The sequence below is a fragment of the Homo sapiens genome, chromosome 6 (genome assembly GCF_000001405.40).
Source record: "Homo sapiens chromosome 6, GRCh38.p14 Primary Assembly".
NCBI lineage: Eukaryota > Metazoa > Chordata > Mammalia > Primates > Hominidae > Homo > Homo sapiens.
Genome location: NC_000006.12, coordinates 20,818,910 through 20,834,750, shown reverse-complemented (window position 1 = coordinate 20,834,750; position 15,841 = coordinate 20,818,910). Strand labels below are relative to the sequence as shown.

The 15,841-nt window shown below is 37.5% G+C and overlaps 1 protein-coding gene across 16 annotated transcripts in view, besides 4 other annotated features; it reads right to left on the bottom strand.

Moving 5' to 3' along the window:
- The window catches only part of CDKAL1 (CDKAL1 threonylcarbamoyladenosine tRNA methylthiotransferase), a 697,948-nt gene that overhangs the window by 397,654 nt on the left and 284,453 nt on the right, over positions 1-15,841 (bottom strand). The gene's annotated exons all lie outside the window — the stretch shown is intronic.
- Positions 132-671: an enhancer, noted in NCBI's record as "NANOG hESC enhancer chr6:20834311-20834850 (GRCh37/hg19 assembly coordinates)". NCBI's record gives its function as "activates a minimal SCP1, AML or CMV promoter by ChIP-STARR-seq in primed H9 embryonic stem cells {active_cell/tissue: H9 hESC(primed)}" and the evidence as "EXISTENCE:reporter gene assay evidence [ECO:0000049][PMID:30033119]".
- Positions 132-766: a biological region, named in NCBI's record as "NANOG hESC enhancer GRCh37_chr6:20834311-20834850".
- Positions 566-766: a silencer, noted in NCBI's record as "peak5722 fragment used in MPRA reporter construct". NCBI's record gives its function as "represses an SCP1 promoter by STARR-seq MPRAs in K562 erythroleukemia cells {active_cell/tissue: K562}" and the evidence as "EXISTENCE:reporter gene assay evidence [ECO:0000049][PMID:32103011]".
- Positions 9,206-9,406: a silencer, noted in NCBI's record as "peak5721 fragment used in MPRA reporter construct". NCBI's record gives its function as "represses an SCP1 promoter by STARR-seq MPRAs in K562 erythroleukemia cells {active_cell/tissue: K562}" and the evidence as "EXISTENCE:reporter gene assay evidence [ECO:0000049][PMID:32103011]".

Below are 15,841 nucleotides of genomic sequence, written 5' to 3'. Positions count from 1 at the left end.
TCATGACTACTCTAAACATTATACTATAGTTGCTTCAACTAAAAGAAACTTAAATGGTAGAAAAATTAACAATGATGAAATGTGTTGCCTATTTTTTCTAGTCTAGATAAAGATAAGCTTAGTCTGAAAGAAGAGAAGGGAGAAAATACAGCATTGATACGAGAGGTCCTCTTTGCCTTTATAACCCCCAAATGCTAAAAGTCTGGTAATGTGGACTCCAATAGGGTTAAAACAAAAATAAACCAACCAAACAAAAGGCCAAATCCCAGAAGCCAAGCTTAGGTTCGTGAAAACAGAAGCTGGTATGTTAGAAATTCCATAGGAGATGAGATTGGAACCCAGAGGACATCTAACTCCCACCCCCACAGTTGTCCTTTCCCAAGCACAGCTAAGCATCCTCTTGCCTAACAAAGACAAAACAGTTCATTGTGAAAATGCAGCTGAGATGTAGCCTAAAGGCAAGGGACAAGCTGAGGCCAAAACATGGTATTGGCCTTTCAATTAAGGTCCTGAAGTTTAGGTAGAGGCTTCTCGCTATAATAGAAAAATTCCCAGGTGCAGAAAGGATGACCAGGCAAGGTTTCTGGCTATTGTCACCGTAAATGGAACTGACCATAACAAACAGACTGATATTCCACTTAGTCCACTTAAGGGAGCTGATTTTCCAAAGAAACCACAAAAACCTGCTGAATGTCTATGTCAATGATTCTTAGAGAACGCATCAGATGCTCTGGGAGTTCTTATCAAAGCACAGATCGCTGGATTTCCTGTTCTCATTCAGGAAGTCTGTGCTGACACCCAAAAATTTGCCGTTCAAATGATGCTATTGCTTCTGGTCTCCGGACCATGCCGAGAACCACTGTTCCAAAGCAACCTGAGATCTCTCCTACCCAACCTTGCATTAACTGAGAGAGAGCTACTGGAAATGAATGGTCCTTCCTAAAAGCAACCCCAGATGTGGCATTAAAAAACAAGGAAAGGAGAGAGATTCTCAGAGCTAAAAATCACTTGCTATCAAATATGCTAAGAAATTAACTTCCTACCAAGTACAGGGGGTGTTTACCATTCCTGGATTATGAAAGAATGACCAATATGTGTTGTTTTCTATTATTTTCCTTTTACGATGAGATTTTTTCATTGCATCATCCTGTTCTTCCTCCAGTATTATGAATAGACATAGGTGAGTTACTTTTTAGTTACAGGTTGCAAGACCATAAAGAGCTACACTAGATCCCACAGAGAGGAGTATATACCACCCAGATATATAATCTATGTATCATCTAAGATCCTGGTCTTGGAATTGAATGAGACTTTGAGTATCCCTCTTCAGGGAAGTGGCGAGGATGGTTTGTTTAAGAGCAAGTTTTAGTTAAGAACACGTATAGGAAAAGGATGTGTATGAATGTTAGGGAGCAAAAGGTGCGAACTACAGTGCATGTTGCTACTCAGGACTTAACCCCACTCTCTTTCCAAAAGAATACTGATTTTGTTCAGGAATCAACTCTTCTCTCACGCAGTCAGTAAAGCTCACAAAAAACTAACGCTGGAACCAGTTCTAGAATAGAGCGTGGCTAATCAAAGGGAAATACCTTTTCATTCTCCAATAAATGCTTCAATAAATGTATTCCAATAAATACATCAGGAACTCAGACCTAAGCCAATCAGAATGTAGCATTTTCGTGGAAACTGGGATTCATTCAGGAATGTGCCTGAGATAAAATTCGTATCAATGAAATGTGCTGGGAATTCTGGGGAAAATACTGCTTTGCTTTTAAAATAGTGACCTTTTCTTTTAGAGATTGAGACAAAATTGCACTCAGGACCATTTAATCCTCAGACTAAAAGTCAGAGGAGATATAGCCAAGAAAATTACAGGAAAATGTGGTAAAGCCACTGGATTAAGGTATACTTCTTACCTTCAACTATGTCATTATATGTCATTATCATTAAGTTATTTATGATATGCCATTGAAATTTATACATCTAAATAAAAACTGTACCTATTAAAGGCAATAAGAACTTCAAAGAACCAAGTAAATGGTGTTTGCCAAAATAATTTTATATCCTCCTTAATCTGAACAATTTCCTTTTTTTAGAGACAGGGTCTTAGTCTGTCACCCAGGCTGGAATGCAGTGGCGTGATCACAGCTCAGTGCTCCCTCGAACTCTTGGGCTCAAGCTAACCTCTTGCCTCAGTCTCCCAAGAATCTGGGAATACAGGCTTGCACCACCAAACCTGGCTAATTTATTTTCACGTGTTTTGTTTTTTTTTTTTTTTAATTAGAGACAGGGTCTCACTATGTTAACCAGGCTAACAAATTGCTTTGAATTTGCAATCTTTCTAGGTGTCAACTTTGCAAAATGCTTTTCATTTGATCATTTGAGATTTACAAGATAAATAGATAGTCCCTGCCTTAAAATTAGAAAAGTGAAAAAGGAATTCCAATTTTTGCATTGTTGGAATTTGCCATTTGATATTGGAATACATTCTTACATAAATATGGTTATGTTATAAATCATTTTAATGGGCATTTCTCACCTTATATTTTTTTGCTAATGACTTATTACTTGCTGTTTATGTTTATCTTAGACAATGGAAATGATGTTAGACATAAAGTAAATTTGAGAAATCTTCTTATTTGAGTTCAAAATGGGTCTTAAAGCAGCGGAGACAACTCAGAACATCAACAACACATTTGGCCCAGGAACTGCTAATGAACAGACAGCGCAGCGGTGGTTCAATAAGTTTTGCAAAGGAGAGGAGAGCCTTGAAGATGAGAAGCGTACTGGCCGGCGATCAGAAGTTGACAATGACCGATTGAGAGCAATCATTGAAGCTGATCCTTTTACAACTACATGAGAAGATGCCGAAGAACTCAACGTCGACCATTCTACGTTCATTCAGCATTTGAAGCAAATTGGAAAGGTGAAAAAGCTCGATAAGTGGGTGCCTCATGAGCTGACCGGAAATCAAAAAAATTGTTTGAAATGTCATCTTCTCTTATTCTATGCAACAACAACAAACCATTTCTTGATCAGATTGTGATGTGCGATAAAAAGTGGATTGTATACAACAACTGATGAGGAGCAGCTCAGTGGTTGGACTGAGGAGAAGCTGCAAAGCACTTCCCAAAGCCAAACTTGCACCAAAAAAAGGTCATGGTCACTGTCTGGTGGTCTGCTGCTGGTCTGATCCACTACAGCTTTCTGAATCCTGGTGAAACCACTACATCTGAGAAGTCTGCTCAGCAAATCAATGAGATGCACTGAAAACTGCAAGGCCTGCAGCTGGCACTGGTCAGCAGAAAGGGCCCAATTCTTCTCCACAACAACACTCGTCCGCACATCGCACAACCAACGCTTCAAAAGTTGAATGAATTGGGCTATGAAGTTTTGCCTCCTCCGCCATATTCACCCGACCTCTTGCCAACCAACTGCCACTTCTTTAAGTATCTTGACGACTGTTTGCAGTGAAATTGCTTCCACCACCAGCAGGATGCAGAAAATGTTTTCCAAGAGTTCATCACACCCTGAAGCACAGATTTTTATGCTACTGGAATAAACACACTTCTCGTTGGCAAAAATGTATTGATTGTAATGGTTCCTATTTTGATTAATAAAGGTGTGTTTGAGCCTAGTTATAATGATTTAAAATTCATGGTATGAAACCGCAATTACTTGTACACCAACCTAATATTATAGGGTGGACGTAATATAGAGACTATATAAAATAGATTATGCAGACAATCTGTTAGGCTTCCAAATTCTGGGTTTTGCTAAGACTCAAGAATCATAAGAAAAAAAAAATCAAAGTTGGAAAAAAAAAAATCTAAAAACATATATTTGTCTAGTTCAACCTTTTCATTTTACATGTAAGAAATGCAGACCAAGTGATTCAGCTAATTAGTTTGAAGAAGCAAAACCCACATTTTCTGAAATGCGGTTTAATACTTCCACACCAATAGTTCTCAACTACTTTTCCTTGCCAAAGACAACACTGAGATATGCCCCAGTCCTGTGAATAGCAGTAATTCTTAATAGGAGAGGAGAGAAGGAGGGAAGGAGAGGTGTAGGGGCACAGGGGAGGGGAGAAGGGGTAGAGAAAAGGGAAGGAGGACCTGCAGGGTGCAGTGGTAGAACATTACCCATGCTATTGGGGGAGATAACTTTATTTACTGTGGTCTTATTACTTTAGATGTTAGATGTTACCACTAGTTTGTATTATATTTTTAAATTTGGTCCCAAAATATGTAATTCTAAAATTTATTTATTAAAAAATATCTTTCTGAAACATATCATACAAATTCTTTACCTGAGGAAACAGAGTACGGTGAATCATCTTGAATAGTATCTCATGTTACTGTTCTCAACTTCATACAATCATTGTAAAGTGCTATAAAGATATAGGGCAAAACATATTGTTGCATTTCTGTTTTTAATTTAGTTAATTTATTGGTTTGAAGAAAGGGAAAAGAGAGTCATATGTCTACTATCATTTATTTTGTTTTGATGGTTATTCTAAAGTTTAGGTTCACAAAAGGCTCAGCTATGATCATGTAACTGGTAGAAAATAACCCATGTTAAAGTAAATAACAGGCCAGGCATGGTGGCTCACACCTGTAATCCCAGCACTTTGGGAGGCCGAGGCAGGTGGATTACTTGAGGCCAGGAGTTCAAGACCAGCCTGGGCAACATGGTGAAACCCCGTCTCTACTAAAAATACAAAAGTTAGCCAGCTGTTCTGGCACATGCCTGTAATCCAGCTACTCAGGAGGCTGAGGCACAAGAATAGCCTGAACCCAGGAGGCGGAGGTTACAGTGAGCTGAAATTGTGCCACTGCAAGTGAGACTCCGTCTCAAAAAATAATAATAATAAAAGTAAATAACAGCAAACCTACTGTAAAAATCATTTGCATAAATGAATTCAGTATCATATTCATGTTGAGAATAGTTGATCCAAGTACCTAAAGTGTTTGTAGACCCACATCTCTTCAGTGAATCTGAGAAATCAAAATTATTAACATTGGTCTACTTCTGCTCTTGCAGTACAGAAGGACCTAAAATAAAACATTTGATGCTACTTTTTCTTTTGTCAACTCAATCTTTTGGAGAGCTTGAAAAATAATACAGTTTTTCAAGATTCCTGCACACAAGATTTTGCCTAATTCCGGAGTTACCTATTTTGTTTAACCCATATGACTAAGGTGAAGGGTAATGCCTTGCATTGCATCTACCCAAGAAAGTTTTCGTGATATGAGGAAGCAAGTAAATAGGCCTAATATAACGAATCTGTAATACTTGTTGTATTGAGTATATAGGAATCGAAATGAATCTGTTAGGAACTAAATACTAGAACAGTAGTTCACTCTGAGGTTTAATGAAATCTAACGACTGATTCTCAAGAAAAATATAAACAACACAAAATTCCACAGACAGTGGGAATGTAAAATGGTGTGTAGCTGCTGAGGAAAACAGTGTGGCAGCTACTAAAACAAAATAAAAATTAAATTACCATATGATCTAGCCATCTCTGGTTAAATCCCTCAATTTCTAGTGAAATTCACAAAAGAACTAAAACCAGAGACTTAAACAGATATTTGTATAGTAATGATCACAGCAAACATTATTCTCAATAGCCAAAATGTGGAAGCAAACCAAATGTCAATCAACAGATGTATGCATAAACAAACTACTATATATGTACAATGGAATCTTATTCAGCCTTAAAAAATGAAATGTGACATGTTACACAATGGATAAATCTTGAGAACATTATGCGAGCTGAAAAAAGCCAGTCACAAAATGACAAACACTATACGATTCTACTTATATGAGGTACCTAGGGTAGTCAAGTTCATAGAGACAGAGAGTAGAATGGTGGGGCTGCAGGGAATGGGGAGTTACTGTTTAATGAGTACAGAGTTTTAGGTTGGGAAGAGGGAAAAGTTCTGGAGGTGGATAGTGGTGATGTTTGTACAACAACACGAATGTACTTAATGCCACTTAACTATCCACTTAAAAATAGTTAAAAAGGTCAACTTTACGTAATGTTTAGTTTACCACAAGAACGACAGACTGGTTAATGCTAATCTATCATAAAAGTTTCAAGAGGAAAATATAATTCTATGGACAATTCCAACAGTTCACCAATTACCTAAAGATAATCAAGGAAACCCAAGCTATAAATACCTATTAAATTTCAACATAAATATAATGAAACACAGCCAAGCACAGTGGCTCATGTTTGTAATCCCAGCACTTTGGGAGGCTGAGGCAGGTGGATCACTTGAGGTGAGGAGTTCGAGAGCAGCCTGGCCAACATGGCAAAACCCTGTATCTACTAAAAATACAAAAATTAGCCAGTCACGGTGGTGCATGTCTGCAATCCAAGCTACTTGGGAGGCTGAGGCACAAGAATTGATTGATCCCAGGAGGTGGAGGTTGCAATGAGCCGAGATTGTGCCACTGGACACCAGCCTGGGTGACAGAGCAAGACTCTGTCTCAAAATAATAATAATAATAATGAAACAGGCATTACAGTACTATTTATAGAAATTAGCTTTGTTTTATCCCTATAATGATTGCCAACTAAATCCCATGCTTAAATATAATAAAAGTTTATTAAAACAGCAGAAATTGTTCTCCCTACTCTGAAGTTATCTTTCCCACACTAAAATAGAGCAACAGTAATTCCACATTTGTTGTTTGTATTTCATCACTGTTTTCAGACAGAACAAGAGATCTGCTGCCTACACACCATTTCTCAGCATCAACACCCATTTTCTTATGCAATTTTAAATTCTGTTGGCAGGTTAAAGACATTTTTTCCAACCACAAACAAAAACTTCTTTTGATACTCTAAGTGAATGTTCAAGGAAATGTTCCCAATTAAAAAAAAAACTAAAACAATAACATAGAAGTATATCGACAGTCTTAAGAAAATGTAAGTGGTAATTCAATGAAAACCTCAGTTCTAGATATAAGACATGTAGGACTTTATACTACCTCATTGACAAATCACCTATCTTTATGTCTTCAATTTGGAACTTTGCAAATGTTAAACGAACACAGAAGGCCAGAATGCTAAAAAAGGCAGAACCACATAACTTAGTCTTCCATGCAACTCCATAGACCTTTTTTTTTATGTCTAAAACATCACTTTGTAATAGCCCTTGATAATGAAAAGTGTTTAGCTTCAATTGTTCATCTCTTAAGAGTTATAGAAACTAGCTTTACTAGAAATTTTTAGCCTAAAAAACTTAAATCTTAGTACATACTTTTAATATCTCATAAGTAAAGGTTTCTTTGCTATTGTTAAAAAAATTGTAACACAAATAGAGACCATCACAAAGATAAACAATGGCAGCTAAGAACATACATAGCATTTATAGGGCAGCGCCAGGTACTGTTACAAGCACTTTACATATATTTAGCTAATACTGAAAACTGCCCCATGTGGTAGGTACTACTATTCCTCATTTTACAGAGATGAAGCCAAGGAATGGAAAGGTAAAGTGATTTGCCAAATATCAAAAACATCACACAGCTGGTTAAGTGGTAGAATCCAGACGGTCTGGCTCCAACATCTATGCTCTTAACCATTACACATACCACCTGTCATAACATATTGGGGAAATAAAGACGATTTTGATAATGCTGAACAAGCTCTTTAATAATAACATAAAATATATCAGTTGTCTTTTTGATCATAGTATTGTTGGTTTTGTTTGTTTTTAACTATGAGCCACTGTGCTAGAAGAGTGTAATTCACAGAATTAGATATACTAATGAAATTAAGATTTTTGGTAATGTCCATGACTATGAAGAAAGTAAGTCACAAAGATTAATGGCCAATTATCTTAAGTCTTTTGCTAATTTTGTGAACAATATACAAGTATAAAAACAAAGCCAACAAGACTGGTAGTTTGCTCACCAAAAAAGTAAATACATAAATCTATAAGGAAATGAAAAGTGCAGGTGATTAATCAGAATACTTATAAACAGATATACAGTTGAGATTTTCAACATATAAGCTTCAAGATGTTGAGGTATAGGTAAATTGTCCAAAAATAATCAGAGGTTGGAGGAAGGACGGAGTTCGTGATTAGTATGACTCACATGCATCTCGCAGCAAAACACAAACCACCAGACGTTTATCTATTAAAAACAAAAGACACTGAGTCTGGCACCAGTCTAAAAAGCAAGAAATACCATGTGCGAGTCAGACACTCGTGTGCCATTTAAAAATAAAGAAGGGAGATAGGCACATGACACATGATGAGTTCTAAACTTGACCTTCTCTGAAGTACACAATTCCATTTATAACTTCCAAAACAATTCAAAACACCTGAAAATAGCAACTTTCACAAGAAAAGCAAGCAAGAAAAACTAAAAAGATGCTTTAAAAATCAGAGGATAAAACTATTACAAAAAGAAATACTATATTTAGGGAGGAAAAAACCAAAAAGATTTTTGTGACACTGACTGTATTTTTAAGTGGGCTCCCCTCCTCCCTGTATTAACATGAACCCAGTGAAGCCAACCATTCTCTTGTGAAGACACCTAGGTTGAGCCCATGAGAGTGGAAAAGTGGCTTCTGCTTAAACTGTTCCTCCAAACTCCAGTTTCCCCTACAAAGGAGAAAAGCTGTACTTGGACTAAAGATTGCTACATCTATTTAAGCAAGGTTCTGTTTGAAAAGGAAATGATATAATTACAAGTAGCAGAAACCCTGATGGGACCAAATTCAGGTCATATTTGTGAGTAAAGAAAAAGTAGCTAATCTCCCAAATATGTAATGTAATAAAGTAATCCCCCCAAAATGACAGAATAAGAAATAGAATGGAGAGGAGATACAAACCCAACAAAGAAATGCCTTAATAAGACTACAGGGGTCTTGGGGACCTCTCTAAGTAGCATACCCATATTTAGAATCTGGCAATAATTTACTAAGTTACAACAAATAATCAACGGGTTAATATCAATAAGCTGGGACCATTTAAAATTCATTAATTACACTCATATTGTTAGCAACAATTTTTTAAAGTATTTACAGTAAATACAGCCTGTCATTCAGGGTATGCTTCGATGCCACAAGTACTATCAGGAAGAATCAAACCATACTTTAAAAGTTCATGAGAGCTGTTGTAAAAGCACAGTGTGTGACATAATGTTATCATTAATACTTAACAAATAAAGTACAAAAAACCCCACCAAACCCTACAAAAGTTTCTAAACACTTACCTTCTATTTCTGTCTATATCTTATCTTTGACTCGTAATAATCTTTCACAAGCCAGCACAGTCCACATTCTGAGCAGAACTGAGCAGAACTGATTTATAGCTTATCTGCCTATCTTCTCACTTCTAACCCCTAAGAACCCTGCAGTCTCAACAGAACCCACTGTAAAAACTTCAGGTTACTAAGGCAAATTCAAAATTATTATGTCATTTAAACCATACTTTCAACACACAATTATAGAGCATATAAAATATATATGGGGAATATAAAAGTCATTAAACTGCAGAGTGAAATAGAAAATGATCCAAAGGGGAAGAATGGAAAGGAACAAAGAAAAAGGAAAAAGGAAGAACCAGAAGAGGAGCTACCTGGAATGTAAGGGAAGAGTTAAAGATGGCAGAACTAATCAATCATTTCAGATAATACCAAGGAGTCGGGATTTGGCACATGCTCTCTCCAGCCTACTCATGAGAAGAAATGGTAGGAAAAAGCAGAAATATAAATAAAACTTTAACATGAACTACCAATTAACTACAACTTATCTGCTATAAGAGGAAAAAGAAGCAAGATATATTAGCTAATTATCACAAACATGCCATTTTAACAGTCAAGAATTTTTAAAATACAAATAAGAAAATCATAGCACTTCTATACAGATAGCTCTAATAAAAATGTTATATGAGCCTCTTAACAACAGACTGGAATATGGCCTCCAGAATCCTGACTCCTGGAATTACGCCCTTGCGGAATCCTTTCCCCCTACGTGTAGGCAGGATCTGTAACTTGCTTCTAACCAGTTAAGTATGGTAAAAGTGACAGATGTCACTTGGATCATTACATTATATAACATTATAACATCCATCTAGCTAGAAAACTCTCTCTTTTGCTGGCTTTGAAGAAGCTGCCATGTTGTAGGCTGCCCTATGGAGCAGGCCACATGGCAAGAAACTAAGGGTGGCCTCTGATTGACAGCCAACAAGAGACTGAGGCCCATAATCCAATAGCCTGTAAAGAACTAAATGCTCCCAACAACCATGTGAGCTTGGAAGAATCTCCTTCCCCAGTCAAGCCTTCAGGTAAGACTCTAGTTCTTGCAGACACCTAGACTGCAGCCTGGCAGAGGACCCTAAATTATGCCCGAGCTATTGACTCACAGATGCTGTGAGATAATAAATGTGTGCTGTTTTAAGCAGCAACGTTCGCAGTTATACAGCAATAGATAACTAATTCAGGGCCTTTAGACTTGTCAAGCCAGTCTACTTATATGATTACCTGTGGCTCAAAAGAACATGGTCCTCTCCAGAGGTTCAAGAGGCTTCATATCCTTTTAACTGCACTACAGACTAGACAGCCTAAAGCAGTAGTAAGAGTAGAAGCAGCGGTAGCAAGACACAACACCTTTGGTTGTTCTATCCATGCTTGAATCCACTTGAAAGTAGACTTTAAGGGAATCCCAAAATTCATAATAATAACAGTCCATCCTGGCCAACCATAAAAATACCTTAACCTTTGTCCCATTTGCCCCAAGAACATCCACCAGTGGTGGTTGTGACTGGAGCATTCACCCCGAGATAACTTTGCCACGAAGTATCTTGCTTTTATTATTATTTTCACATCACTCTAGTATCTCGACTTTGGAAGCAAAAGACATCATTCTATTTATGGCATTCTGTTTTTAGTAGTGGTATTTCCATTTACAAAATGTAGTAATTCTCAATCGCTGAAAATGTCAAATCCTAGAAAACGCAGCATTCGTTTGTATGATGGTAACATTGTTCTCAAATAATTGTTCACCGAAGAGTTATTTGATGAATCCAATTTTTCTGAAATAGACGATTCTGATAATTCAGACAGTTCTGATGTTAATTCTGTTTAGAAGTAACTCCAGGAACATTTTTTATGTTTTATTTTCACACTGAAAATCAGTCAGATTTGCTTCAGCCTCACAGAGCATGTTTATGTAAAATTAAATGAGCACTGGCAGCAAGCTGCACTCTTTTTTTCAAAACAGGAAAGGCAGTTTTCTAAATTATGAGTTATCAGCATTTTACTTTTTATTATTTAGATTAGCAAATATTAAAATGCATCACACACAAACATTTGTATCAATTCAATTAAATTCTATACTTACTGAAGACGCATTCTATGCAAAACACTATGTCATCCGTTAGAATCTAATAGGGTAGAATAATACAAATGCACAGGTAACTGTAAGGAAACATGACAAGGACCATATGAATGGCCAAATCAAGGAAGGTAACAACCATAACTGGAACCAGAAAAGCCTTCAAAAAGGAGACAGCATTTTAGACAGGCCTTGAGTAAGAAAGTGGAATTTCACAAATGGATACCAAGGGTAGGGAAAGAAACAACATCTCTCTTCAGAAAGGGACGGACATCAACTGTCGTATATATGTATGTGAGAGAGACAGAGAGAGAGAGAAAACGAGAATGTGTACGTGTGCTTATTAGAGAGTAGGAGTTATTAAGACAGAGTCTGGTTAGAAAGGCAAGTGAACACCAGGCTGAGAAGTTTGTATTTAATTTATCCAAGATTCACAGAAAAATTTTAAACACACTGAGTGTATTTGTACATTTTCACATGGCTATAAAGAACTGCCAGAGACTGGGTAATTTATAAAGTAAAGAGGTTTACTTGACTCACAATTCAGCATGGCTGGGGAGGCTTGGAAACTTAAATCATGGTGGAAGGTGAAGGGAAAGCAAGGCACTTTCTTCAGAAGGCAGCAGGAAGGAGAAGGGCTGAGTGAAGGGGGAAAGAGCTCTGTATAAAACCATCAGATCTCGTGAGAACTCACTCACTATCATGAGAACAACATTGGGGAAACCATCCTCATAATTCATTTACCTCCACCTGGACTCTCCCGTGACACATGGGGATTATGCGGATTACAGGAATTACAATTCAAGATGAGATTTGGGTGAGGACACAAAGCCTAACCCTATCGCTGAGCCAAAGAAAACGATGCTGTTTGCCACTCTGGCCTGGTGCTGTGATTCAAGAACTGTTATCCGAGAAGTATCGCGAGGTCTGGACTTATGTTGTGGCATGTTCTGATTATCGAGTATGGGAGTGAATGATGACCTAAAATATTCAGTGATACTTCAACTTGATTAATTGTAGGACTTTCAGATTCTGTCTTTTGATATTTTATAAATAAACTGATTTGGTGAAGATAAGTCTATATTAATTCATAACCAACTACTTTCCTGTTGTTCAATATTTGCTTTCATCAACATTACTTCATTATAACAACTTGTCAAATGGCATTATGATCTATACTGCAAAATATATAATACCATATACTCAGTATAATGCTCTCTATATCAGGGGCTGGCATATTTTTCCTGGAAAGAGCCAGACAGTAAATATTTCAGGTTTTGAGGACCCATAGGTCTCTGTTACAACTACCTAACTCTGTTGTCATAGAGCAAAAGTAGCCATACACAATATGTAAACATACGAGCATGGTTCTGTTGCAATTAAACTCTATTTACAAAAGCAGGCAATGGGCTATTTTGGCCCATGGGCCAGAGTTTGCTGACCTCTAATCTATACTTTCTTCTATTAATTTATTTTCCCATGAAAGAGTAAAATGTAGCCCTTTACTGCACATTGGCCTTATAATGATATATTAATGGTTTATTGAGGTTGTATTTTATGTCAGGTACCAAGTTAAGTTTATTACCTCCAGTCTACTAGAATAACTTCCAGAAATGGACAAGAACATCCAGAAGAAAATCCTGTTGGCTTTGTCTTCAAATTACATCTCCTCTCACCTCCTCCATCAGCACTTAAGCCATACATTCAGCAAATACCTGCCAAGCACACACTCTATGCCAGGCTCTGTTCCAAAGCATCTGGGACACATTACAGAGCAAAATAGAAAAATCCCTGCCCTTGAGCAGCTTAAGCTCTGGTAAGCGATGAAAGTCATAAATAAACCTAATATATAAGCAAATGATACCACACATTAGAGAGCAATAAGTGCTATGGAGGAAAGAAATACAGAAGAGTAACCAGGCTTTGGGATGCCAGGGAAGGAAGGGAGTGGTAAAGTTAAATAATGTGATCAGATTGGGCCCAGGACAGCTGGCAGAAGAGTGTTCTGGACTACAAGCCTCCAGAGGAGGGGCTTACCCTAGGATGCTGTTTCCACCATGTCTCATCTAGACTATCACGGGAGCAACCCATTCTCTCTTCTTCCATTCGGACTTCACGACAGGATATCGTCCCTACAGCAGCCACACAAGACTGAAAACTCCATCAGGTCATGCCAATCCCCTGCTCATGCCAACTCCCATTGCATGATGAATAAAATGCAAAGTCTGCTCTGGTTCCTGATTGCCTCCCAGTCTCATTTCCTACCGCTCTCCCTCCAAACACTCTGCTCATAGTGGCTTCTTTGCTTTTCCACCCCAAGGCCTTTTGCTTCGCTGAGACCCTCTTCTCTAGGCATCCTCCTGGCTCTCTCCCTCACTTCCTGCATATTTCAGACCAAACATCACTATCTCGAAGGCCACCCCTAAAAGTTCTCTGTCCAAAACAGCTCTACATCTCCTGCTTTATTGTTCCTCATTACACTGTTCACTATCTGACATTTTAATCTAGTCTGCTGTTTACCTGTCTGTCTCCACCACTAGAATTGAAACTCCATGAAGACAGGAACTTTATCCCTACCACAATATCCCTAACACCTCAAACAGTGCCTGGTACACAGTAGGCCCTCAATAAACATTTTTGAATATATGAAAGAAAGTACTACTACCTTATAAAAGAGGAATCAAGGCTTTCTCAAGGTCACACAGCAAAAGAGTAGCCGAACCAGGACTTGAACTTAAGAATATAGGACACTGGGGCCAACGCTCCTCATCAACAATCTCTTAGGGCAAATCCTCATGGAACTGGAAATAGAGAAGTCATTCACTATGCACATGGACAGGGTAAATCGCATCAAAAGCAAGTTAGCCTGGTGGATAAGAATTCCAACCTGGTATTTTACTAGCTTTTTGACCTTAAGCAAATAAATTACTTAATAGTTATTTGCCTTACCTTTAAATTCAGAATAATATAAGTCCTTAACCTCACAGGGTGGGTGGGAAGAAGAAACAAGCTAATGTCTGTAAATTACTCAGAAAAGGCCTCAAACAGTATAGGTGTTCATTAAGTGTTTACTATCATTAGAGCAGAATGACTTCCAGGCATGAAAAGTTGACTCCAACCAGACTGAATGTATGGACATAACCACAGGTGACTCTGATTAGAGTTAGAAGCCTACACCCTCTTCCGCTAGCAACTTGTGTGGGAGGAACTGTGGGTGACAATGCAGCCTACATACTTTGAGGCCCATGACCCTCCACTTACTTTAGAGAATTCTGGGGAGGACCAAGAAGAAGCAAGAACTTGGAGGGAATCCACTGGCCCCCTTGGTAGGTTACACACGAGACTTCAGCCATGCAAAGTGGTTTCCTAAGCCTATAGGAGTTCTAGACAGAGAAAGCCTCTTCTACGTAGTGCTGCTGCGGTTACTACGCAGCCTCCATATCTGTGCGAGGCATCACTGAAAGCGGTTGGCACTGCTCTGTGAAGCTTCTAGCTGAGGGTGTGGCCCACAATGTATTTCTTAAATATTTAATAAAAATAATAAATAAAAATAAATATTTAACAAAAATTTTTGACACTGTATTTACTGCTATCTTCTGATCTCTATAATAAAAATCCATTTGTAAAGTAAAATACAAAGGAACTCAAACACATTTGAAAATATTTTCACACTTTACATTTATTTCGAAGTATAGAAAAGCACCCCATTTGTTTAATGACCAAAGCGTTCGATATAGCACAAGATAAATGTGTGAAATGATTTTCAGAACACTTCATGCCTAGATACTTGGTCATCTTAGGATAACATCTAGTTGGTTAATTTTATTCTGTCACTAAAGGTGTGACGTAAAGTTCAGAAATCCATTTGATCATCAGAAAAACAGGAGACAGAGCTCTAAATGAATACAAGCAAAAACACATTTTGCCAATAAGAATATACTGCCACATCTTTTAAAAATGGAAAATCATCATATTCATAGAGGCCTGGAGTTAGAAGAATCTTTAAGGCACCCTTAGCAGAGATTCTCAAAAAATACACTCTAATTATTTTGCCTATCAAAGTAAGAGAGATGGTTGCGTAAAACTCAGCTAAAAATTATTAGGACATCCCAGAAGACTGTCACCTTGGCCAAAACTATCCATTAATGTAGGTCAAAAAAAAAATACTATAAATAAGCATTTAAGCTTATTTATAGTGAAAATAAAGCAGCAGACATTAAATCAAAGTTTTGCAATTGTGTAATGCTAACTATGTGGAAGGGGAAAAAAACCAAAAATACCATGTGAAAATGGTACTCCCAGAAGTTGTTCTTTACAACCAGATCAAGTGAGTACCTTGTGAAACAAAATAACTCTAGTTCAACAAAATGATTGTTTTATTTTAAAGTGTAAATCAACCAAGCACTTGTATTATCCATGAACTAAAGAAATACACTCCTATAACAGTTAATAACACACAGAGCTTTTTAAAACATT